This window comes from Homo sapiens, chromosome 11, assembly GCF_000001405.40.
Source record: "Homo sapiens chromosome 11, GRCh38.p14 Primary Assembly".
In the NCBI taxonomy this organism is placed as follows: domain Eukaryota; kingdom Metazoa; phylum Chordata; class Mammalia; order Primates; family Hominidae; genus Homo; species Homo sapiens.
Window position 1 is genome coordinate 59,083,189 of NC_000011.10, and position 24,034 is coordinate 59,107,222.

A 24,034-nucleotide genomic window follows, 5' to 3' on the forward strand; every position below is an offset into this window, starting at 1 on the left:
AGCAGAAGAAAAAGGACAGCAAAGTGCCTAAAGCAGAGAAGGCAAAGAGATTGAAGTCAGGGACATGACTGGAGGGATGTCAGAGAGGTGACTGGATTCTAAGTCATGGAAAACTTAGAGGGCTGTTATAAGGCTTTTATATATCTTTCTCTGAATGAGATTGGGAGTGACAGCAGGAGTTGCACAACAAATAACAAAATGTGGCTTTTGTTTTAAAAAGAGCATTCTGGTTTTACATAGAGAAAAGACTAAAGACATTCTCCATCCAGAAAAGACTGCCGAGAACTGTGAAGCATCTAAAAGTTTACAGGGGCACAGATGCAGAAATGCTGGCAGATGACACAAGCTTCCAGGTAAAGGCAGGATTTTATATGCCTTCACCAGGCAGAATGAGTTATGTGTTTGTGTCAGTCATCTTTGCTCCACAAGTCCTACAGAGGAAATACAGAAAGACAGATTAATGTCGCAAATGCAATAGATGTGTGTTGCAGCAAAACTGCCTTCTGCTTCAGAAGAAAGCAGTATCTCTAGCTTCCAAGCTGTACTCTTTACAAACATCCTTGAAAAGTTAGGAGCAAAGGCTGTCAATGTCTCTGCTCCTAAGACATGCAGAAATGTGAGAGGCATGAAGAATTTTCTCCCAACCAGAATGAGCAGAATGTCATAATGGATTGGATATAATGTGGGAGGGGAAAAGATACATAAGAGTAATTCCAAGAGTTTTTATTTGAATAGATGAAAAGGTAGAGTTGCCATCAACTTAATTGAGAAAGACTACAGGTGAAGTAGGCTGGGTGGAGAGGGTGGATAAGGAGTTTGATCTGAGACATAATGAGTTTGAGATGGCTATTGGGTGGAATCCAAGAGATATGAAACAGGCCATTAGATACATATGTCTTGAGTTTGGAAAAGAGTTTTAATACTAATATAAATGTATTAGTCATTGGCAAGCAGATTGATTTTAAAGCCATGGGACCAGATGTGATTACCAGGGAGTAAGTGTGGATACAAATGAAGGCCAATGATTGAACTCTAAAGTGATGCAAAATTAAGAAGTTGGGGAGAAAAGAAGGGTCCACAGAGGAGACTGAGAAATAACCAGTGAAGTTAAAGGAAAACGAAGAGAGTGTGTTTTCTTGGAAACCAAGTGAGGAAAGTCTTAAAGAATGATCTATTAAGAACAGAAGCAATAACTGATCACTGGATTTAATAACATAGAGATCACTGATGGCTTTAAAAAATGTTTCAGTAAAATGGTAGCAGCAAAAACCCAGTTAGAGAAGATTAGGAGGAGGATTGGAAATAGCATTTGTAGACAATCCTTTCAATGAATTTTGCTACAAAGTGTTAAAGCAAATTAAATATGGTCTGAGAAGGACTCTGTACTTCATTTGAGTCCTTGTGGGTGAAGAGTAACCTAGCTTAATAGTCAGACAAAATTGAAAACCTAATTTAGGAGTGTGCACCTGTAACAATACTTGAATGTTGGCCAGTCCCAGCAGCCTTACATCACCACTCATAGACTGCTGAATGCTCAAACTGTGTTTAAATAAGGCAAACGCCCAGCTGACAGCAATCTCACTGTTTCTGTAACTCATTTCTGGTTCCTGGATGTCACTTTAACTTTTTTTCCCTATAAATTTGTTTTGACCACAAGACACCCCTGGAGCCTCCATGAATCTGCTGTGATTCTGAAGGCTGCTGGATCGATGAATTGTTCATTGCTCAACTAAACTCCTTTAAATTTAAGTCAGCTGAAGTTTTTATTTTATCAGATTGTGTCAGAAGCAGAATCTGAAGTGGAGCTTCTAGTATCCCCAGGAGCACTGAGTAAACACAGAAGGTACCTGCAGGATCCACTTGTGTCCATTGATCTCTCAGAGCAGCTGAGGATCAAAGGTAAGCTCCCTCTTGCATTTTGGAGCTTCACACATTTGTGTTTTGAGCTCTCTGAGTTTCCTTGAGCAAATTTGTGATCCAAACTGGTTTTGGAGTTGCAACAGAAAATGGACTGGGTCTAGGAATGAATTTGATCTGGGAATTAACTGGCTTGGATCCACTTAGAGGCCACTAACAGTAGAGGCCACTAACAGCTGACTGGGTCATAAAGGAAGTGGTAGTAAGCAGTAATGTCGCAGCAGTCATAAAATTCGGCTTTGGGAAATTCACAGGGATTTTTGTGTTCTACCCATTTGTTTCATTTTTCTTCTCCACCTAGGTAGGGAAATTCATTGGCTAAGTTAATCAAAAGAACCTGAGAGTAAAGCCAGTAGTTTCGGTAAAAATGGAATCCTTAATTTCTGAAAAACTGAGTTCTTTCTGGCTTATACATTAGGACTGGGAGGCAGAGAAGTCTTACGCAAATGGCAAAATCTTACTAAAGATAACTTAGAGTGGAACATTCCAAATGAAAAACAATGCATTGAACTACATTTAAAAATGAGGGCTCTCAGTAAAGTCCCTTTTGGCTAAGAACCGGTTTGGCCCTATGGAATGTCAACTGTTATACTCTTTGTCACATTTGTAAGAATTCCAAGTGTTATATCGAACGAAATTTACAGATATGTTTCAAAATTTTCCATGTTTTTTTCTTATTTTTGTAATGAAACTGGGAAAAATTTCTAAATGGTTATAGATCTGAAATATTTAGCCCTAAGAAACTAAATAAAATCTTTGCCAACTCCTGCTCTGAGGTTTCCAGTCACAACTGTTCTTAGATATTTTCTATTCCAGAAGAAAGAAGACTCCTCAGGCATCTGATGTGCAAAATACAAGGAAAAGTTATGGTGATGGTGGTGGAGTGTTCTGCTACAGGCATGTGGGAAGCTCACAGAACTCTTAATATTCACTTTTATTCATTCCACCAGAGAGGAAATGCATGGGTTTTGGATATGACTCTGTCGTTTATCCCTGTAAGAACTTGAGAAATTTATTTAGTCTCTCTAAGCTTTGGCGTATTCAAAATGAAGACGATACTAACAGTACCTACATCATGAGTGTTACTTGAATGGAGATGTGTAAAGTGCATTTTAATTTCATCTGGTCCTTTAACATTTTCCCTCCACTTCTCTTCAGAGTTTTTTTCTTGAAGGGCTTGAGGACTGAAGCATCCCACAAAATGATTCTATTGAATAATTCCGAGCGGCTGCTGGCCCTATTCAAATCTTTAGCAAGGAGCATTCCTGAGTCCCTGAAGGTGAAGGAACAGTGGGAGGTTGGGGTATGGGAGTAGGGGTGTTGAGGATGAGAAACTAACAGGCTCATGAATCTCGTCCTTCCTGACTTTGTGCAGAGGGTTGGAGCTGGGAAACAGGATGGGGTTGGGGACAAAGGAGGCATGTTAAGAGCTGCTGCTTCTCCTCGGCAACAGGCAACTAGGCCGACTCTGCAGATTTTATCACTCATTTGGAGAGGTGGTGAAGAATGGTGGCTACGAACATCGGTTTGGGGCCAGATTCAATAAATATGCATTGCAAGGCTGCCATTTTTTAGTCAGATATCATTGTGCCTGTGCCTTTAGCTTTCTTTACGTTTGGTCTTTTCATTAATAAAATGGGAATAATATTAGTACCTACCTCTTAAAGTTGTTGTGGACACTGAATGAATCCATACAATATAAGTGCTAAGTGCATTAACAAGTGCCCAGCTACTGCACAGTAGCTCTGTGGTATCACAAGAACACCTCCCTGTGAGTTCTGCCTGTTTGCTGGTGACTTCATGTCCATCAGTATGGTCCTGGAGATGCTGTTCATCTCATCATCACTGACTTGGTCCCAGTACTGTCTCTTGATCTCCATTTTTCTCTTCCTCTTCACATACAGACCCCCATCTCTGGGGATCTCAGCCTCTCCTATTCCCTTTCATCCCTCCTTCAGGTGTATGGCTCTCTGTTTCACATCAATCACGGGAACCCCTTCAACATGGAAGTGTTGGTGGACTCCTGGCCCGAGTATCAGATGGTTATTATCCGACCTCAAAAACAGGTAGGCACACAGACAGGGACTGGTGGAGCCAGGCAGGTCCAAAGGGCCTGAGGAACTGTCCAATTCAGACACCATGGCTGCTTTTATAGGGTGAAAGGAAATGTGAGTATTTTAAAACACTCCTTCAGTACTGGGCAGCTTGCGTGAGTGCCACATGTTAACACTCTTCCTGTAAAGCATAAGACTCATTAGGGAAAGGGGGTCAAGGGGGAAGGGGAGGAAAAGGACAAAGCTGACACTCACAGATTAAGGGCCCTTTGAGGTGGCAGGGGTCACCTGCAGGGGCTGAATGGAGGCCAATTTACAGGGAAAGTTGGCTGTCTGAGATATTGGAACAGTGACTTAGAACCAAAAACCAAGGCAGTAGTCTACCAGTAAAATTACATCTCATGGCCAGGCATGATGTCTTTTATCTGTAATCCCAGCACTTTGGGAGGCCAAGGCAGGAGGATCGCTTGAGGCCAGGAGTTTGGGACCTGCCTGTGCAACATAATGAGACCTCATCTCTACAAAAAAATAAACAAAATTAGCAGGGCATGGTGATGCGTGCCTATACTCCTAGATACTCAGGAGATGGAGGTGGGAGGATGGCTTGAGCCCCAGAAGGTTGAGGCTGCAGTGAGCCAAGATCACACCACTCTACTCTAGCCTGGCCAACAGAGTGAGACCCTGTCATGAAAACAATAAAAGTTGCTTCTCAGGAACCAGGGAAGGGACACACAATTACTTTGTGTCAACTGTGTGGAAGCACCTCACTCGTTAGTGACTGTCATCATCAGAACAATTTTACAAAGTGAGCTTTAATATCTTTAATTTAGAGATGAGGAAACAACACTGAGAAATATTCAGTCAGGTAGCTGCTGGATACCATCTGTTAAAGCATTCCCCAATCTGAATTCAAGTTCAACGGACTCTGCCACTTTTACTAGCTATATAACCATAGGCCCTTCTGTGAGTTTTATCATCTGTTAAAATGGGAAAAATAGGAGGACATTCTTCAGAGGATTACACAAGGTTTAAATGAGATACCACATGTCAAACACTTAGTATATAGCACATAATTCTAAATAGTATTTACCATAATTAGCCATTATTGGCCGAGGACACACAAGGAATACACGATTAAGCTGAAATAGTAATACAAACCTAGGTCTATTTTTTGGCCCTAAAGACTTCCCCTTTTTGTGTCTGTTTCATGCACATCTGATTAGTGAACTGAAGCCTCATGGCCAGCCCAGCTTCAGGTGGGTATAGACACTGAGCCCCCACATAATAATAAGCTGAGCCTAATACCTTCCCCAGGGATGTTCTTTTGATCTCCTGGTTTCCTGACAATTTCGGATCGATGATTAATGGTTAGTTTACTTGATCCATGGTCCAATTTCTTCAAAGTGTCATACGCTAAATAACTGTATGAACCAAATAGTTCTTTTTACTTCAGTAACTTTGTAGTCACTATGTGTATTTTAACAATGTAACTGTACCATCAAGCTGTAACTTCATATATGCATTGCTTTGAACAAGGCTAGTTTTTATATAGTGAGTCAGCAAACAAAAATATTAAAATATAAAAGTTCCATGCCACACATATATGACCAAAAAAATGGAAAGAATGAAATATGCTGCAATTTACTTGGAAATACATTCACTTAGTCTGATTCCATAGTATACCATGTTTCTTTCAGTATTGAAAATCAATGCAATTTTGAAGAAGACCTTTTTAAGGTGAGATGCAGGAGAATTTCTCTAGAAAAATATTAATTTTTCTTTGTTGGTTCCTAATCAGAAAGATAATATATGCTGATTATAGAAGTGGAAAAATTCAACATGATTTTAAGAAGTTAATAACCTCTCACCTCTTTGCCCTCCTCTCCTCCATTCCTACCCTTTGGGGTAATCGGTGTCCTTGGCCATATTAACACACAAACGGATATTCAGTTATGATCTCTTCTGTAATCGCTTTTTAATTTGCCTTTGACATATGGACATTGCTTTGAGTGAATCAATACAGCACTAACATATTTGTTTTAATAACTGTGGCGTTCCATAGAGTCAATGCAATGCTATTTAGTCAGTCATTCTCCTCCTGTTGGGTTCAAATTGTTCATACTTCTTTGCCATTACAAACAATGCTTCAATAAACATCCTTGTATACATGTCTTTACATCCTGGAAACTTTTCTCAATGCAATTGGTTTCCAAAAGGGATAAGTCCAAGTCAGAGCTTATCTTATCCTAAGTAGGCACTGCCAGACTACCCTCCCAAAGGATTCCACAGTATTATTTCCATTAGCAATCTGTGGAAGAATTGTTTCCCACATTCTCATCAGCAGTGAATGTTATCCTTCTTCTACTTTATGCCAAACTGGTGGGTGAAAAGTGGCATCTTATTGTAGATTTAATTTGCATTTCCCTGACTAGTGATATTCAACATATATTTTCATATGATTATCAGTCATTTTGGGTTTACTTCTGAACTGTTTATATTGTTTGACCATTTTTACACTGGGATTTTGTGTCATTCTTAAAATTCTCTATGTGTTTTGGATATGAGGGATACTAACACAAGGTGTATGCTACAAATTTGTTGCCCAATTTAGAATTATTTTCTAATTTGATAGATTTTCACATGAAGCAATTTTTAATTTTCATGTAATCAAATATATTATCTTTTTCACTATGATTCCTGAGGCTTTGGGAGTTTTTTTGTTAATAATTAGGAAGATTTTTCCTAAACCAAGATCGTACAAGTTGTTTTTTTCATTTTGTCTTACAGTGAGTTAATTTTTACTTTTGACATTTCAAACTTCATTCTATTTGGAATATATTTTTGAATAGCATGAATTAACATTCTTTTATATTTATCCCCCGAATGGCTGGCTAATTACGTTAGTGCTATTTATTAAGTAAGTCATTCTGCTACTGAAACATAAATGTCTATTTTGTCATATAACTTTTATATATTTTTGTAGCTATTTCTGTATTTGTTTCTAATCTTTTCTCATGCTATTTCATTGTTTTGTGGCAAATTTTAATATCTAATAAAGCAAATCACCCTTCACTAATCTTTTTCTTGCTTTCCTATTTCTTATAAACTTCAGAGCTATATGAACAAAAACTAATTTTTCAGTTCCCCAATTTCCCCAACTAAGTATTGCAATTGTGATTTGTATTGGAGGAGCTTTTTTAGACAATTGTGGAAGCATTAATATTTTTGTGATACTAAATATTTTTATCAAGAAATATGGTCTTTCTCTCACTTTTTTCAGTTTCTGTTCTATGCCATCTGGTAAAATATTAGTGTTTTCCTGAGGTAAACTACGTGATTTTTCCATTAAGTTTACCCTTAGGTATTTTATATTATTTTTTAAGATTATTAAATTATTTTTCCTTTTCTATTTCTGAGCATTATTATTTTGTTATTGCTTTCTATTTATATTCTTCATTTCCAAATATGTCACACTATGCTTTAAAATCTTCTTTGTTTGCCTGGGGTGTTATTTGTTTTTGTTTTCTGTCGAAGTCTCTTATATTTTCTAAATGTGTAATACTGTAATCTATAAACAAAGTAATTTGCTGCTTCTTTGCCAATATTTGTATGGGTTTTTACTTTCTTGCCTTATTGTATAATGTACAACCTAAGAAAACAATACCAAGTAGCCATAATAAAAGTTCTATCCTTGTCTCATTCCTGATTTTAATGAAATAGCTATAAAAACTTACCTTTGGAATTACATTTAATTCTGTCTTTACAGGCTTAGAGCACTTTCCTGTTTTCCCATTTTCATAGAAATTATATTTAGAATGAACGGTAGATTTTATGTTATTTCATTTTTGTCTTTTTATGGCAATTTATATACTCATGTAATTTTTTCCTCCTTTAATTTATTACCCTAAAAGATCTTCTGATCAAACTCATTCTGGCCTTTCTAAAACAAACTGTTCATGTTCACATTCTTTTCATATGCTACTGAATATTTTATTCAGAATTTTTGCATCTGTATTCATAAGCCAATATGGTCAGTAACTCTCTTTTTGTTATTTCTTTACCAGATTTGGCATTAGGATATTTTCATCTGTTACCAAAGTCTACTATTAAAATTATGTGTTTGGTTTTGCCTTATGTAGAATTGAAATGTAAAATAATCTAATTTTGGCTACTTTTTAGTTTGTAATTTCAACTTTCCTTTTAGATAAAGGGGGTACATGTGCATATTTGTTACACGCAAATATTGCATGATGCTGAGTCTTGGAGTATGGACAGATCCCATCACCCTGGTAGTGAGCATAGTACCCGATAGGTAGTTTTCTAACCCAGCCCCTTTCCCTCCACCCTCTAGAGTCCATAGTGTCTATTGTTCTCACATTTATGTCCATGTATGTTCAATGCTTAGCTCCCAGTTATGAGTGAAAACGTGATATTTGATTTTCTGTTACAGCATTAATTTGCTTAGGATTATTACACTGTGGAAAGTAGTCTGGAAATTTCTTAGAGAACTTAAAAGAGAGTTGCCATTCGACCCAGCAATGCCATTACTAGGTAAATACCCAAAAGAAAATGAATCGTTCTACCAAAATGACACATGCACTAGGATGTTCATTGCTGCACTGTTCACAATAGCAAAGACATGGAATCATCACAGATCCCCATCAAAGGTGCATTGGATAAAAAAACTTGGTACATGTATTCCTATGGAATACTACACAGCAATAGAAAAGAATAAAATATTGTCCTTTGTAGCAACACGGATGGAGCTGGAAGCCATAATTCTTGTCCACTTTTCAAATGGTAGATATTTCATTTCATTTCCGATATTTCTATTAGTTCATTGAAGTTTTCTATTTTTTGAAAGTCAATTTTGATAGTTTATTCTTGAGGGATAACATCCATTTCTTTATCAGTGAATATGTTGCCTTGGAGTAGTATATAATCTTCTATTATAAGTCTTTTTCCTTTTCTGTTTCCATTCTCATGGCTCATACTCTATGCCTTTTTTTTTTCTTTTTTCTCTTTCTCTTCTATTTCCTTTAAATGCCTTACCAGAAGTTTATCTCTCTCTCTCTTCTGCTCTTTCTTTTTGCCATTTAAAAATGAACTTTTGGCTTTATATATCATTTGCACTGTGTCTTGTTCTACATTTCATTATTTATGGCTTTCATTTTTACAAATTGTTCCATTTGTTATTTTCTAGTCTACTTTGATATTCTTTTTATAATTCTTTGAATATTTACTTGGCTATGTTCAGTCATTCTTTTAAAATCCGGTCTTTTAAAACATCTACTCTTTTAAATTCACTGAGGTGTTGTGTTTTGGCCATATTCAGGAACTTGCATTTATAAAAGCATCCTCAAATTCTTGAAGGTTTCTTTAAAATTAGTTACACTATTTTCTCTTTTACTCCTTAACAATACAATTTTCAACATAATATTAATACATGCACTGCTAAAACTCACACTTATTGTTTATATTTCCCCTGATAAACAGATACTCATCGTCCCATGAAGTTTGTGGCTTGTGAGAATGAGATCACAAGTATCTTTCTTTAAAACCCATGAGTCTAACACCACATAAATTGCGCAGAGTGCTACGGAAAATTCAGTTACTTCATTCTATTTTGTGGGCTTCTGGCTGTAAAGGCCATGTCACTCTTCAAAGAGGCTGATATCCTGTAGCCTTGGGAAAAGGCAATGTCTCCTTAATGTTTATATTCACTAAAGTATCTTGCTCAAACCCTGGACACTGCAGATTCTAGAACAATATAGATTGTAGGTGTCTGGTGAAACAGTAGGCACTATAACTTAGAGAAATCATGGTTAAATTCATCTTGTGCCGAGCTTAAGAACTTAACCCTATCAACACGGACTCAGTACAACCCAGAATATGTCCCACAGGGGGTTATGTGGGGCACAGTATATATAACAGGGGGATATGTGTGGTCCAGGAGGTGAGAGAAGCAGGGAGAGAAGCAATTGTTGCATTCCTTTGCTTCTGCTGGGCGCTCTGTGATGCTATATATAAAATAAGGTAAGTGTGCAGTTGAGTGGGTAGGGAGAAAAGTGAGGCATCTTAAGGCCTGGTGGAGGGTGACTGATTTCATCCTGTCTTTGTTATGTATCTGAGAAGCAGGTTTATAACCAGTAACTGTCAGTGTTCAATATTTAACAAACTCCAGTTACACAGGTAAGAGGTCAGCAGTAGCTTATAGGTCTCACTTATATTATCCACGTGCCCAACTGCAGCCATCGTGGGCTAGTGCTAAAACTTTCTTTTGAATTTTCATTTTTCTAATAATTGCAATCAGTGAGAGGAGAAGAAAAAGTTCAAGGGAATGATCTGACCTTTCACCATCCTACACAGGAGATGACTGATGACATGGATTCATACACTAATGTATATCGTGTATTCTCCAAAGACCCTCAAAAATCACAAGAAGTTTTGAAAAATTCTGAGATCATAAACTGGAAACAGAAACTCCAAATCCAAGGTAACAAGTCTGAAGAAATGGGCAAGCAGCTGTGCTTCTCAAATTGTGTCTTCAACTAACAGCATTAGCATCACCTGAGAGCTCATTAGAAATGTAAATTCCTTGAAATTCTCAGAGCTGGGAGAGGTGGAGCAATCTGTGGTGTGCCAAGGACTATAGCTGATTGTGGTGTAAACTCAACTTTGAGAACTACTAAGCACTGAGGCATTAATCAGGTGTGAGCAGTGTAAGTAGAGAACTGCATGTCTGACAATATTGCTTTCTTGGCTTTCTCTCAGGTTTTCAAGAAAGTTTAGGTGAGGGGATAAGAGCAGCTGCATTTTCAAATTCAGTGAAGGTAGAGCATTCGAGAGCACTCCTCTTTGTTACGGAAGATATCCTGAAGCTCTATGCCACCAATAAAAGCAAGCTTGGAAGCTGGGCTGAGACAGGCCACCCAGATGACGAATTGGAGAGGTACAAAAAACATGTGCTGATCATTTATAATTGCTATTCCTTGTACATTTTTGTAATTCACATAAATCAGTTTTGGAATGAAGAGAGGATGAATTCATTCCTTGGGATGAATAAAGGTTGTCAGTGGTCAAAATACGCCACTTTGCAATGGTGGGTCTTTTAACAAGAAGAGGGCCTGGGATCTCTAGAATGGAAGGGCACCTAGAAATTACAGGAGTGGGGATGAAAGTTGTTGTCTTTCTTTTTGTTTTCTACAGCGAGACTCCGAACTTTAAGTATGCCCAGCTGAATGTGTCTTATTCTGGGCTGGTAAATGACAACTGGAAGCTAGGGATGAATAAGAGGAGCCTGCGTTACATCAAGCGCTGCCTAGGAGCCCTGCCAGCAGCCTGTATGCTGGGCCCAGAGGGGGTCCCGGTCTCATGGGTAACCATGGACCCTTCTTGTGAAATAGGAATGGGCTACAGTGTGGAAAAATACCGAAGGAGAGGCAATGGGACACGGCTGATCATGCGATGCATGAAGTATCTGTGTCAGAAGAATATTCCATTTTACGGCTCTGTGCTGGAAGAAAATCAAGGCGTCATCAGAAAGACTAGTGCACTAGGTTTCCTTGAGGCCTCCTGTCAGTGGCACCAATGGAACTGCTACCCACAGAATCTTGTTCCATTGTAGACAATGAAGCTGCTTAGCAATCTTGGGCAAGCCATCTCTTAATATTAAAGCAGACACCACAGAATAGCTTTCTTCACTTACAAATGTTGATTGGGCATTTGTGATATGGCAGGAACTCTTTCTCACATGGAGACTTGATGTTAAAGGACACAGCCATGCTCTTGAGGAGCTTACAATCCAAGCTGGAGGCAGGGGAGGGTATAGTCTTTAAATATGCTTAAGTGTTGTAGGGAAGGACAGAGTTACCAATAAACATGTAACTAGAAAGCCAGGCTCAGTTCTTACCTCTGGGAATCAGAACTCTTTATGAAACTTGGTTGATAGAATCTACTATCTGGAAGATAAATGAAGAACTTTAATAAAATTGTCAATAGAATATACCTAATCTATATGGATACTTTATTGGAAAGAAATACCCCTGTTATGTATGGATTTATGAGGCAATGGCTATACTAAAGAATGGAATCAGTCTCTTAGTTTAGTGTCTAGCAAGGTATCAAAGGTGAAGCCTCAGACAAATGGCTTTCTTAGGCTACCTTTCATCATTGTTATGCAGAAAAGGATCTCCAGAGAATCAAGTGGGCTGGCCTTGAGGCCTCTGTTATGGAAATGACATTTGTTGTGCCTCCTTTCCCCTACTCTTTCTCACTTCCTCATCATTAGTGAAGCATGGCACAAGATAAGGTGTTGCCTGTGAGTCTGGCTATAAATTCAGCTTACGATGTTTGCAGCACTGCTATCTTAAGGGGTCAAGGGCATTTCAGGGGGAAGTGACCACTAAGGTGAAGACTGGAGAGTGAGTAAGAGTGAGCCATACAGTAAAAGTGGAAAAATCCAGATGATGGAAAGGACACGTGCCATGCACTATCATAATAACTTTATAATTGAACACTTATATTACAATTTCTGAACCCCTGATCTCAAAAAAAAAAAGAAAAATACACTTCATGAAAAAAACGGGGCCTCATTTGGCTCCGCTCTCCCCCCCTGTCATTGGAGCTTGGATTACTGTGAACATTGTAGCCACAGCAAAAAGAAAAAAAAAATTGGCATTTTTACTCCTTCTGATAGTCTAGATTTTAAAAAACAAAAGAAATCTTAATAGAATTGTCTTTTGGAGTAAAGCCTACCAGTATTAATCAACACCTCATCTCTCCATAGAAAATAACCCCCCACAAAATTGAATGTTTATACTTGATGTGATTTGAAAGTGTGCAATTCCAGCACCTAAAGAATAGTGTAGGTCATGGAGTTTTTAAGAAACTCCAATTCATCTTAGAAGGCTGTGGTAGATCTGTTACCGCTTAGTATAAATCAATCCAATCAGATTTCTAAACTCCTGAGACCTGGCTGATTTGTTACATTGACTGAAATGAAAGCATGGTCTGAGAAAGAGAGTAAACATGTCATTTGGGATTTCAAAGGGTGGAAAATTCTTACCTAAAAAATAAACTCAGGAACTTGGGGTAATATAAAAACAGCTATATTTTGGCACTCAAGAGGCAAAAGCTAATATATGTGATGAAAGAACACAAAGCAAATAAAATTTGACTATTTCAAAATGATGCCTCGGGCAGGTCCTGTATCCAGAAGAGGATGTTCATCCAGGGTCTGGGGCTAAGGTCATCTTAGCACAGCCCAGCTGCCAGCTTCCCTCCTCTGCCGCTTCCCTGAACGCAAACCAGCTTCCCTTATCTAGCCCTTCGTGGACCTGTTAAAAAAGTGATCCCTAAACCTTATCATGCACTTGCATTAAAAAAACAACAAGAAAGCATGGGAAGGATGAAAGAGGATTTCTTAAATATGGCACAAGTAAGTCCAACATTATCAATAAACACACTAACAATGAATGGGGTAATTTTCTTATTAAAATATATGTTTTTCATACTGAGTTAAAAACAAAATCCAAGAAGCATACATCTCTGTGCCCTCACATGGTGGAGACAGAGGAGAGCTCAGACTCTCTTCCTTTTCTTAGAAGGACTTAATACCATCAAGGGGGCTCCACCCTTATGACTTAATCTAAACCCAATTACTTCTCAAAGGCCCACCTCCAAGTCCGTTGGGAGTTGGGTCTTCAACATATGAATTTGGGAGTCACCGTCAGTTCATAAGGAAGCATATCTGAAATAAACAACACACAAGGGTTCACGGAAAGGAAGAAGATATACTAAATGAACGTGAAACTGAAAAGCAAAGTAATACCATCAACACTTGGCAAAATAGAACGTAAGTTGAACATCTGCTAAATACAGAAATTCTCCCACAACATAGGTCATGAATCTGCCTCACAACACAACACAACTACAAACTATACATGGCAAAAGCTGACAGACATACAAAAGAAAAATGCAAATCCACAGTCTCAGTGGGAGAACTCAAAAAACTTCCCTCAGAAAGCAACAGATGATGCTGACAAAAAATAAAGACAATTTGACAAACTGCCATCACAACTTGCTATTTCTGGTGATGTTGGGGTTATCTGCTTATTGTGTATTTGAGAACTTCCCTTCATCTGCTTGTCAAACTGACCAGCAGGTGGTGCTGGGGAGGGAAACACTCCATCTGGAGAATGCTGGCAACTTGTCTCTTAAGTCTAGAGGCTCCTGGTCCCCCTCATGATCATCACCTATCAGGCACAAGCACTGCTGATACAGGAGCTAAAAAGAAATTATTAAGCAGTTAGTGTAGGTAAGAGAGTCCTCAGTAAGGTTTTTCTTTTAATAAAAAGCAGCCCCCATATAATCGCTTTTCTAGCGAAAATCAGCCTAAAAAATCAAGCCGCAAGCATGCTAAAAGCTTGCATAGGTAAATGCCGGCACCTATGCAAATAGAAAAGGGATACCTGGAAGTCAGGCGTACTCAACATAGAGGTTTCCTCTTCCTATTTTTTTTTTTCAGATGGAATCCTGCTCTGTCACTCAGTCTGGAGTGCAGTGGTGCATTCTCAGCTCACTACAACCTCCCCCTCCTGGGTTCAAGCAATTCTCTCCCTCAGCCTCCTGAGTAGCTGAGATTACAGGTGCCCACCATCACGCATGGCTAATTTTTTTTTTCGTGTTTTTTTAGTAGAGGCAGGGTTTCACCATCTTCGCCAGGCTGGTCTTGAACTCCTGACCTCTCGTGATCCACCGTCCTTGGCCTCCAAATGTGCTAGGATTACAGTCATGAGCTACCACGCCTGGCCGCCTATTTCCTTTTCTTTGTCTTCACTTGTGCAGGCGACACGGCACAGGCCAGGTAGAGGCCCCGTTTGCATACTAAAGATTCATGTGGGATGGCCAGGCTCTTCGTGCATCACATAAATAGCACACCTGCTCCAACCAACCCTCTGAGCCCTATGTAAATCAGACACTGCCTCCTCAAGCTCCTCTATAAAACCAACCACAACTCGCCCCAAACCCGGAAACCTGCTCAGGCACCCTTCCAATGCATGAGGAAACTCTCTCTTTGTTCTTTTGCCTATTAAACTTTTGCTCTTAAACCCACTCCTTTGGTGTCCACATCTACAATTTCCATACTGTGAGACAGCAAACCTCTGGCATTTCCCCAGACAAACGATGCCGCTTCACTGCCATCTCAAGCCCAAGTGCCAAAAATGACCACTTCAGCCTGAAGAATGCCATGGCTGCCACCATGCTGCTTAGGATAAGCAAAGACACAAAGATGAAGTGGGGACGGGTTTACTAGAGAGGCTGCAATAAAAGCATATCCCAGGCAACTTTCCACTTCTTAACTTCTGTCATTTTCAAACTTAAAGGTGTTTTTTTTTTTGTTGTTGGTTTGTTTTTCTTTTTAACAGTTTCTATTTCTGGCCAAAAGACTGCTCTTTGTTTTCCTGCTATGACATATTTATTCTTTGTTCTAAAGTCTTTTCCATGATTTCATATAGGAACTAAGAAGACAGCCAGGTGTTTGCTCAACATATTGATCCCCTCTCCACCTAGAACTCTCTTTACTCTTTCTCCCAGGAAGATTCCACCCCTCCTGTTCTGCCAGTTTCCTCATATTTGCCTCAGACAATTGCCCTTGTAGGCAGATGAACCCGGGCCAGTTCTACTTTACTATGGACACCAACTCTTCTGAAATAACATCTGAGTCTTGGGATTTGCATATGAATCTTCCCTTGACACAGCAAACAGTCTTTCCTTTTACCTTCACTAAAGTCATCTACTTGGGAGAATGGAGAGCACTAAAATTCTACAGATTTCAAAACCAAACCTGCTGTGCCTTTCCAGAGTCCTTGGAATGAAAAAGAGAAAATAGGTTAGAAGGGATATTTTCTCCTTCCTTCCTTACCCTGAAGGAGCTCCTATTTTTAAAGGGAATCATTGGGGACAATCCAAAAGAAACTCTTGCAAATCAAGCTTTGCCATGCCACCACGAGAAGGGTAACCTGTGTGCCCAGTGGTGAAATTTTTAAACTTTGGTAATGATCTCCAGGTTCACCCCTATGGATAACGAAAATATTTTAAGAACCTATAAGGGTGCCAACCTTTCAGAACCATGTCTCTTTGCAAGGACCTACCAAGGTCTAGAGATCATAGCACCTCACTAGCAGCCTACAGGCATTCTCCAAAGGTTCCCACCTGCCCCACCCAACACACACACACACACACACACACACTCACACACACACACCCTGCTATCCTTTGGCCCTAGATTTCACCTAACTTTGTTCTAAATCTTAATCTCCCTGTGCCCTCAAACTCATGTGTTATAGGGCCTTGGTAATCCCTTTCTAAGCATATTCCCTGACTTCTCAAATACTATTTATGAGACATATATCTAAAGTAAAACTATATTTCAGGCCAGATCAGCACGCTTCTTATTACAATTATAAACACTGAACTTCTTAGTTGCTGGGAAAATATATTAAAAAGGCATTATTATGCTTTTATAGCCATAGATTATCTAGGGAAAAGTATTGAGTGTCTCGAGAATGAGTGAAAATTCTTTCCCCAATATACACTTTTTTTCTTTTGCAAAGTATATCCTGCATATATTCAAAAGATAATGTTTTTCAAAAGGGGAAATTGCCTCCACTGTGGACTCTTATTAATTCACTTATCCCTCAAGTTCTCTTATTAACTCACTTATACATCATATTCCCTTATTAACTTTTTATTCAATCACTGGTATTTGTTTCTAGTGCTCATAATTGAACACAAATTTTTTTACTATTATATAAAATAAAGTAACAGCTATTCACCATTTCCTCCTTTACCTCAATAAGTTGATATCTTCCAATAGATTCATTTCCCTGTTTTGCTCCCTCCTCTGATCCAGACGAGTGTGCTAAGTGATACAAAATGCTTTTATTCCTCTACCGTTCAACCCCCTGAGACCGATGTTTTAGTTCCATGTGTTTTAGTTCCAGGTGTCACAGAATTTCCCTTGCAGTGTGTCGCATCCATTTAAAGAATCCTTCTTTAAAACTTTTCTTACACATTCCCAGAGAGCCTATCATTGTCCATTTAGAGTTAATTCTCTACATAAAATTTGTCAATTTTTTTTTACTCACCACTGTTTCCTCTCCTTATTTTCTGCTCCTATCTGAAATCTCTGTTCCTATTTGATTAGTTAAAATTGCTTCTTCAGTATTTTCTGCATGTAAATATGCTACCAATATAATATCTGAAGACTCTCAAATCCACAAATATCTTTCTTTGACCCTCACAAGAATGTAATTTCTGCAGCCTTATAAATTGATTTGTCTTTTACCCTCAAGTGACTGATTCCCTATGACATCACATTTTAGGATGACCAAATATAATTTTCCACTTTATACATAAGATATAAAGGTACAAAGAAACAAGGTAACCTTGAACCTTCATTCAAGGTCACAAAGCTAGCAAAAAGTGGATGACTAGCGATGAGGGCTTCAAGTTGAGATTAACAAACAACAACACAGGATATAATAGGATTTAACCCAACTTCAACTTCATAAAATGAATGGACATTCCCTGATCTTCCCTCCACTCCCACCCCCACCTCAGGGGATTTCAGGATGTACCCGGCAAAGCTGTCTTCCTCCATCCCCAACCGTTTCTCAGGCAGTGACGGGTGTTAAGAACTCCTCACTGCCCTTCTTGAAGCTTACATTCTGGAGCAGGGAGGCAGAAACTAAACCAAAAATTAAAACAACTCTGAACATATTCCCTATAAACTCAGATGTAGTATATGAAAAAAAAACACATGATTTGATGACAGAAGATGATGGAGGGAGAAAGAACAACAAATAAATAGGAAAAGAGGCCTCAGATAGGAGCAGGTAAAAAGGAGAGAAAACAGGAAGGGGTCAGGACTGGTCTCCCTCAAAGCCTGGCATTTGACAGAGAGCTGCAGAAAGAAGGAATAGAGCCAAGCACATAACAGGAGGGTAGAGTTTCAGTCTGAAGCACCCAAGATGGTCCACTAGGATCAACAAAGGACATACTTGAACCACCATTTAGATTCATCTTCATCTAAAAAATAAGAAATTGTGTGTAATATTTAATTATTTAGTACATTAATTACAGTAGAATATATAGAGTTGATGCTCAATTTGTTAAAAAATAGATATCTAAAATTTAACCTCAGAGATTACTCTTGCCTATGACAACGAGCTTCTGAAAGGCAAGGATAGGTCTCACCCATCTCTGTATCTTCAGAATCCATCATATTATGTGGAACATAACAGGTATCAATAGTATGTTGGGGGGAAAAATCGAAACCATGCTGAGCACCGGAATTCTGGGTAAATCTTTTTAAAAAATCTCTTCTACTTTACATCAGAGTCCCTTTTGTATTTTTAGTATCATCCAGCCCCACGCCTTGCAGATGAGCCCCTAAGAAATGAATGGGTGAATGAATGTGTGGACAGCGGGATGGATCAGTGAGTGAGGAGCAGTGATTCGCAGGACCTGCATGCATTGAAATCCTGCCAAAGCAGCCTCTGCAAAATAAAAGACCTTAGGCTTTGGTTTCTGACACAAGTTAAAATTATCCAAGGACTGTCCTTGGGCCACTTAGTTGAGGTTTCCTAATCTGTGAAACAGAAAGTGAATTCAATAGAAAGATGATTCAGACAAACTTACTGAAGGTGCCAAAGCAGGATGCCTGGCATTGAGGGACGCTTCACACCTGTTATCTCTCTCCCTATTCTCTCTTCACCCCTATTCCCGCCCGGCAGCTCTCCGCTGTCAGCGCCAGAAATACTTACCTGCTGAGAAAAGGAAAAGCACAACACTGACTTTACCCCGCGACGCTTTTAAAAAATCCAAAATACCCAGCGCGATGGGGAGTAGGTTTCCCTAAAGACAGGTGGAGCAGCCATAGTTAACTTAGAGGAAGGTGAATTGACAAAGAGGGTTGAGCCACTACGAGTGGGAGTTACCTTGGACTAACAGTTGTATCTTCAGCGAGCACATGTCCTGGAATCTCCCACGCCCATCCCTTTTTTTAGCGCCACAAATGCAGCCTCCTAAGAGAATGGGAAGCTTGGGAGTCAGAGAACCGAAGATTGAGCTACCATTGACCTTAATGGATGTCAGTCTTCACTTGTCGCTTTTTTTCCTTCCTCGCCTCCTTGCCCCGCCCTATCCCTGTAGGCGCGTTCTCCCGCGACATCAAATGGCAGCATGCGGGACTACACCAAATGCGGAAAGGCGCCTTCCCCTGCCCTGAGTATCTGCAAACCCGGGGCTGGGCTGGGTTTTTAAGGGCTGGGCTCGCGTGCGAGGAGCGGTGCTAAAAAGGGGCTGCCTGCGCAGATGTCATTCCCACAAGATGCAAGTAAAGAAGCACCGCGGACGCCCGGGGAGGGTCACAGAGCGACAGGAGGGGTTGTTGACCAGGTGACTGGCCTCACTTCTGACAAATGCAAATTACCCAGCCACAGTCCAACCAAGGGTATCAAAACAGGATCTCTGCAGATGGAGCTCAGTGTTATGTGTTTTGGACAGCTCGCAATAAGATTTTCATGCATCATAAACTTTCCCTGAGTATCTCAGCCAGTTTTGTGGATGCCGAGGTTTGTTCAAAGCTGCAGATTACTGGGCCTCACCCCAGACCTACTCTACTTAAATATAGTGGGGTTCCCATAATCCCCATTTTACAAAACCTATCCAAGTTAAAGTACAGAGAATCACAAACTGGAAGAACTCCTTAATTTACAAATAAGGAATGGAGACCCCCCCCCACCAAGAGAGAACGGAATTTGCCCAAGGTCCCCCTGAAAGAGCCTAAGAAAACGTGAGGCTCTAAGGTTAAAATCCTACCTGACACCCTTTCCTTTCCCCAACTAGTCCTGTGACCTCTAGCAAACTATCCTGTCCTGATCTGTGAAATGGGAGCAACAGTCCCACCTACCCCAACTGGTGACTGCGAATATTAAATGGGGCCACAATGAGTCAACTCCAAGCACCACCCCACTGGAAGTTGAGGTTGAACTAATTCTAGATCGCCCTACCCCCATTCATCTCCCAGTACCATTGTATGACCGTGGAGGTGAAACCATCCAGCCGCCTGTTGGTCCCAAACCATGTTCACCTCCACCCGTGGCTCAGTGACTATTTCTTTTCTTGAAGAGAGAGAGAGGCTCCTTGGAGCCTCTGGAGTCTGGAGGGGAATGTTACCTTCCCCATGCCTGCATTGTCTTCCCAAGATAGGATGGACTATGGGGTCTCCATGAGGTTAGCTGCTGGGGCATCAAGGCTAGCTCCTAAGTGGTTGCTGGAGGCTTAGAGACCCCACTCCAGCTCTCTCTCAAATGGGGGCAGCTTGTTTGCAGCAGTGAGTGAGGTGGGCCAACTATGAACCCATGGGAGGAGAGGAAAAGACCATCCCATCTAAGCTTTTACATACCCCATTGCAAGCTCCAGAATGTGGTGCCCAGGCCCATATCTATAACCCACCCCCAGAGGCCAATTCTCCTCAGCCTTTCCTGCCCTTTCTGCCGTTGTACAGCCAGTTTCCATGCTCTCTTCTATCAAACTCCTACTCATCTCTCAGCCATCTAGTCCAAATATAAATCTTTCTCTGTGATATACTCTCAAGGTAGAGGCAGTGGTGCCTTCCTCTGTATTCCGAGAACATGTCATCTGCACCTCTACATACAGACATCATCCTACTGGTAGTGTTCCAGAGCATCTTTTAGGGGTTCATGAAGGAATCACTCTTCGTAAACACTGGCCTTATTCCCTAACTTCACCAGACCTGACCTTAGTGCATGATCCATTCCCACCTCTCCCAACCACATGAGAGCCTTTTCCTCTTTATGGGTTTACAAAACACAAACTGACCCAACCACCAGTTACTGGCCAAAAGCATTCTTGTCACATTTATAATAAAATCCAGCCAACAGGATACTTTGTGCCAAGGGAATGTTCCTTTTCAGGGCAAACACTCTGTCCCCAGGGATGTTAGACAACTTCCATAGCCCCAGATAAGCATTAGCTAGAAGTGAGTTTTCTTTGGTGGCCCAACAGATTCCCTGAGCATCCCTACTCTGTCACTGATTCCAGTTGCAGTGGGATTGCATCAAAGCTCTCAGAGCACAGCTGCAAAGGGTAAAGCAAAGCTAGAGCTCTACTCTGGACCTATCACTCTAGACAGTTTCTCTGTGAGGGGCAGTTTTATACGTAAGGAAGAAATGGAAGATTACTCCCAAAATGGCCTCAGGGTACTTATCCCAATTGTGTGGTTCAGTTGCTACTCCAGTGATGAGCAAATAAACAGGAAATAGAAGCACAACTATTCCTAAGCTCAAGAAGCAGGGAAGCTCAGGAATTGGTGTGCAGCAGTGCTGCTTGGAGCGCCATTACAAAGGGACAAGCACGGTCCACTGGGAGGTAAAATTCAGGGAATCTAAGACACAGGGGGTATGGGAAACAAGGCAGGCTTTTGTATTTATCATTTGCCGTGATATCTCTCTGTGAACTTTCTTTTAATTTTCCCTGTACTTTAATTATATTTCTTAGGCCTGACGTGGTGGCTTACATCTGTAATCCCAGTACTTTGGGAGGCTGAGGCAGGCAGAGCACCTGAGGCCAGGAGTTCGACCCCAGCCTGGCCAACATGATGAAACCCCATCTCCACTAGAAAAACAAAAGTTAGCTGGGCATGGTGGCAGGCTCCTGTAATCCCAGCTGCTCAGGAGGCTGAGGTATGAGAATCGCTTGAACACAGGAGGTGGAGGTTGCAGTGAACCGACATCATGCCACTGCACTCCAGCCTGAGCAATAGAGCAAGACTCTGTGTCAAAAAAAAAAAAAATTCTCAGTTAATGGCCAACATTGTTACCATCATAAGTCCCAGCTTCCCTGTCTTCCTGTCATCATGTGTTGAATGTCCACTTCCCTCCTTATTTTTCAGTTGGAGTGGATTAGCATCTCCAATTCGACATGTCAAAAGTAGAATTTTACACACACACACACACACACACCCCACTCCTGACACACACAGCATCTCTGTCCTCAGACTTCCCCATCCTTCTAGTTGCTCAAGTCAAAAGCCCAGGAATCGTCATTGAGCCCTCTGTTTCTCTTATTTATGGAACATCCATAAGCAAATTCCAAGGGCTGGCCCTTCAAAATAAATGTGGAATCCAGCCATTTCTAACACTTCCACCATTACCATCTGAGGTCGGGCTCCAACATCTTTGCAATCCTGGGACAGACTCTTAGCTGCCTTCTCCCTTCCACATCTCTTCTTGTCCTCCCAGAGTCTTTACCCCGCACAAACGCTGCTAGGGTGATTTTTTAAAATATGTCAGGGTATATTACCCCCCTGCTTCAAATCCTCCATTTAAAATAAATTTCACATTTATAGCAAAATCCAGACTTCTTCATATGGCCCACCAGGGGCTTTATGCTAATGGAATGTGCAGATGCTCCTCCCTGAGGAGCACCTTTTACCAGGGCAAATTCTCTATCTCCAATGATGTCAGGCAATTTCGACAACACCATTCTCTACCATCTCTTGCTTTTCATAGATTTGTTTCCTCCAGATTCTACAAAAAAAGAAGATCAAGTCTCCTTGTGCAATGATTTACTCTCTGATGTATATTGGTGCCAGGCACGTGTACTGCTTTCAGATGATTCAAGAATAACAGCGATTTAAGAAAGCTGTCGTTAAGTTTTCTCTTCTCTTTGTCTGTATGACATTATTTTTACAATTATACTTCCAAAGTTTGCTCTTTCCGAACACCTCAAGACCCGTGTAATTTAAGCAGTGATTTTAGGGGTCTCTGTATATTTTATATTAATTTCAGAAACATGCTCATGATTATTCCACCAAAACTATCAACTGTTACATAAACATCTGTCCTTCTATGAGTTACAAAATAATTGTCTCCATCCCCACTTAACCATCTTCTCTCCTTCTTTGAGCAACTTCTGAAAAATAACACCCAATACTGATGGCATCTCATTCTATTCAGCTTCTCAGACAGTAAGACGTTCTTTTCTTAAACAGTAAGATGTTTTCTCAAGCCCCATGCAAAGCACTTCTTTGATATCAGTTTGGGGAGGTCGTACTCTGGAGCCTTCATCCAAAGGGTAAAGTACAGCACTCAGTAATGCGCGTCCTGGGAACGAGGCCTAAGCAGTGCTGGCCACTGCCTCCTCCAGGCTGGCATTGTCTGTGTTCGCCAGCCCCGCCGCGAAGTTAGCTCATTTGTGATCAGGCCAAGTCCCTTTAGATTTCACGCAGACGCGGGTGCAGCCTGCTCTGGGACTTGAAGTCCGCTGGAGCCTGGGCCTCTGCATTATCCGGGTGGAGCTCTCTCTGCTGCTGCCGCCAAAGGATCCCGCCTGGATGCTCATCCCGCCACCGTCGCCCACCCCGCCGCTGCAGAAAGGCAGCAACTGCCACACACCTAAGCAACTTGGCGGGCTATTCGCCCTGCAGCTGCCGCCAGCGCGCGGCTCCCGCCAGCGCGCTGGCAATCAAAAGTCGGAGAAAGCGCGAAACCTCCAGGCACCTCCCACTCCGCCCAGCTACCGCGCAGCTCCTCCCTAGCCTCCACTGGGAGACAGGGGACGCCCATGAGCGGGAAAGAGCAGGGCGGTGATTGCTTAGTTTATCCTGGGACACGGGAACTGGCCGTGGACTGAGTGGTGCCGGGGAGGGGATCACTGAGACCGGGAAGGGTCATCCAGACAAATAGGGAGGGTGGGCGGGTTGGCGCGCAGTACCCTCGGCCCGGCCTTCAGACCCACCTGCGCGCGCTGCGCGCTCATCCGGTCCTTCCCTTCAATCACTGTCTGGAGTGATGATAATTGGCTTCCACAGTGGATGAGAGATGAGTCATTTACATCCAATGAGAGAAAAACAGCCTCCAGAGACTCTTCGTCCATTGGCCAGCGAGAGTGTCAGTTCCCAGGCTCCTGCCGCGCACGGGCGAGCCCTTCTAGGCGGGAAAAGTTCAGCTGAGAGATATAAAAGAGCAGTC

The 24,034-nt window shown here is 41.1% G+C and overlaps 1 protein-coding gene and 1 long non-coding RNA gene across 6 annotated transcripts, besides 6 other annotated features; one reads left to right on the top strand and one right to left on the bottom strand.

Annotated features, from left to right (window-relative positions):
- The first annotated feature begins 3,118 nt into the window (after positions 1–3,118).
- On the top strand, positions 3,119–11,598 carry GLYATL1B (glycine-N-acyltransferase like 1B). The gene is made up of 5 exons (NM_001355566.1): positions 3,119–3,196; positions 3,876–3,983; positions 10,341–10,467; positions 10,746–10,923; positions 11,181–11,598. The coding sequence occupies exons 1-5, from the start codon at positions 3,119–3,121 to the stop codon at positions 11,596–11,598; spliced, it is 909 nt and encodes a 302-aa protein (NP_001342495.1).
- Positions 11,858–12,449: an enhancer, noted in NCBI's record as "OCT4-NANOG-H3K4me1 hESC enhancer chr11:58862519-58863110 (GRCh37/hg19 assembly coordinates)". NCBI's record gives its function as "activates a minimal SCP1, AML or CMV promoter by ChIP-STARR-seq in naive H9 embryonic stem cells {active_cell/tissue: H9 hESC(naive)}" and the evidence as "EXISTENCE:reporter gene assay evidence [ECO:0000049][PMID:30033119]".
- LOC105369315 (uncharacterized) lies at positions 13,066–23,537 on the bottom strand. 5 transcript variants are annotated; one of them, XR_007062678.1, is made up of 4 exons: positions 18,977–23,537; positions 14,131–14,258; positions 13,650–13,722; positions 13,066–13,309 (listed from the first exon to the last, which is right to left on the bottom strand). It is a non-coding gene; the product is annotated as an uncharacterized LOC105369315 (long non-coding RNA). The 5 variants fall into 5 exon arrangements; XR_001748221.3 differs by lacking the exon at positions 14,131–14,258; XR_007062680.1 differs by having other exon boundaries at positions 13,066–13,722; positions 14,444–23,537.
- Positions 13,849–13,958: a silencer, noted in NCBI's record as "silent region_3359". NCBI's record gives its function as "represses an Ori minimal core promoter by ATAC-STARR-seq in GM12878 lymphoblastoid cells {active_cell/tissue: GM12878}" and the evidence as "EXISTENCE:reporter gene assay evidence [ECO:0000049][PMID:35858748]".
- Positions 14,572–14,741: an enhancer, noted in NCBI's record as "active region_4742". NCBI's record gives its function as "activates an Ori minimal core promoter by ATAC-STARR-seq in GM12878 lymphoblastoid cells {active_cell/tissue: GM12878}" and the evidence as "EXISTENCE:reporter gene assay evidence [ECO:0000049][PMID:35858748]".
- Positions 19,332–19,832: an enhancer, noted in NCBI's record as "H3K4me1 hESC enhancer chr11:58869993-58870493 (GRCh37/hg19 assembly coordinates)". NCBI's record gives its function as "activates a minimal SCP1, AML or CMV promoter by ChIP-STARR-seq in naive H9 embryonic stem cells {active_cell/tissue: H9 hESC(naive)}" and the evidence as "EXISTENCE:reporter gene assay evidence [ECO:0000049][PMID:30033119]".
- Positions 19,343–19,462: an enhancer, noted in NCBI's record as "active region_4743". NCBI's record gives its function as "activates an Ori minimal core promoter by ATAC-STARR-seq in GM12878 lymphoblastoid cells {active_cell/tissue: GM12878}" and the evidence as "EXISTENCE:reporter gene assay evidence [ECO:0000049][PMID:35858748]".
- Positions 23,938–24,027: an enhancer, noted in NCBI's record as "active region_4744". NCBI's record gives its function as "activates an Ori minimal core promoter by ATAC-STARR-seq in GM12878 lymphoblastoid cells {active_cell/tissue: GM12878}" and the evidence as "EXISTENCE:reporter gene assay evidence [ECO:0000049][PMID:35858748]".

Excerpts from the sequence above, each read along its gene's own strand:
- GLYATL1B (NM_001355566.1), top strand. The coding sequence starts at position 3,119 with ATGATTCTATTGAATAATTCCGAGCGGCTGCTGGCCCTATTCAAATCT. Across the intron at positions 3,197-3,875 it reads GCATTCCTGAGTCCCTGAAG|GTGTATGGCTCTCTGTTTCA; the intron begins GTGAAGGAACAG and ends TCCCTCCTTCAG. Across the intron at positions 3,984-10,340 it reads TTATCCGACCTCAAAAACAG|GAGATGACTGATGACATGGA; the intron begins GTAGGCACACAG and ends CATCCTACACAG.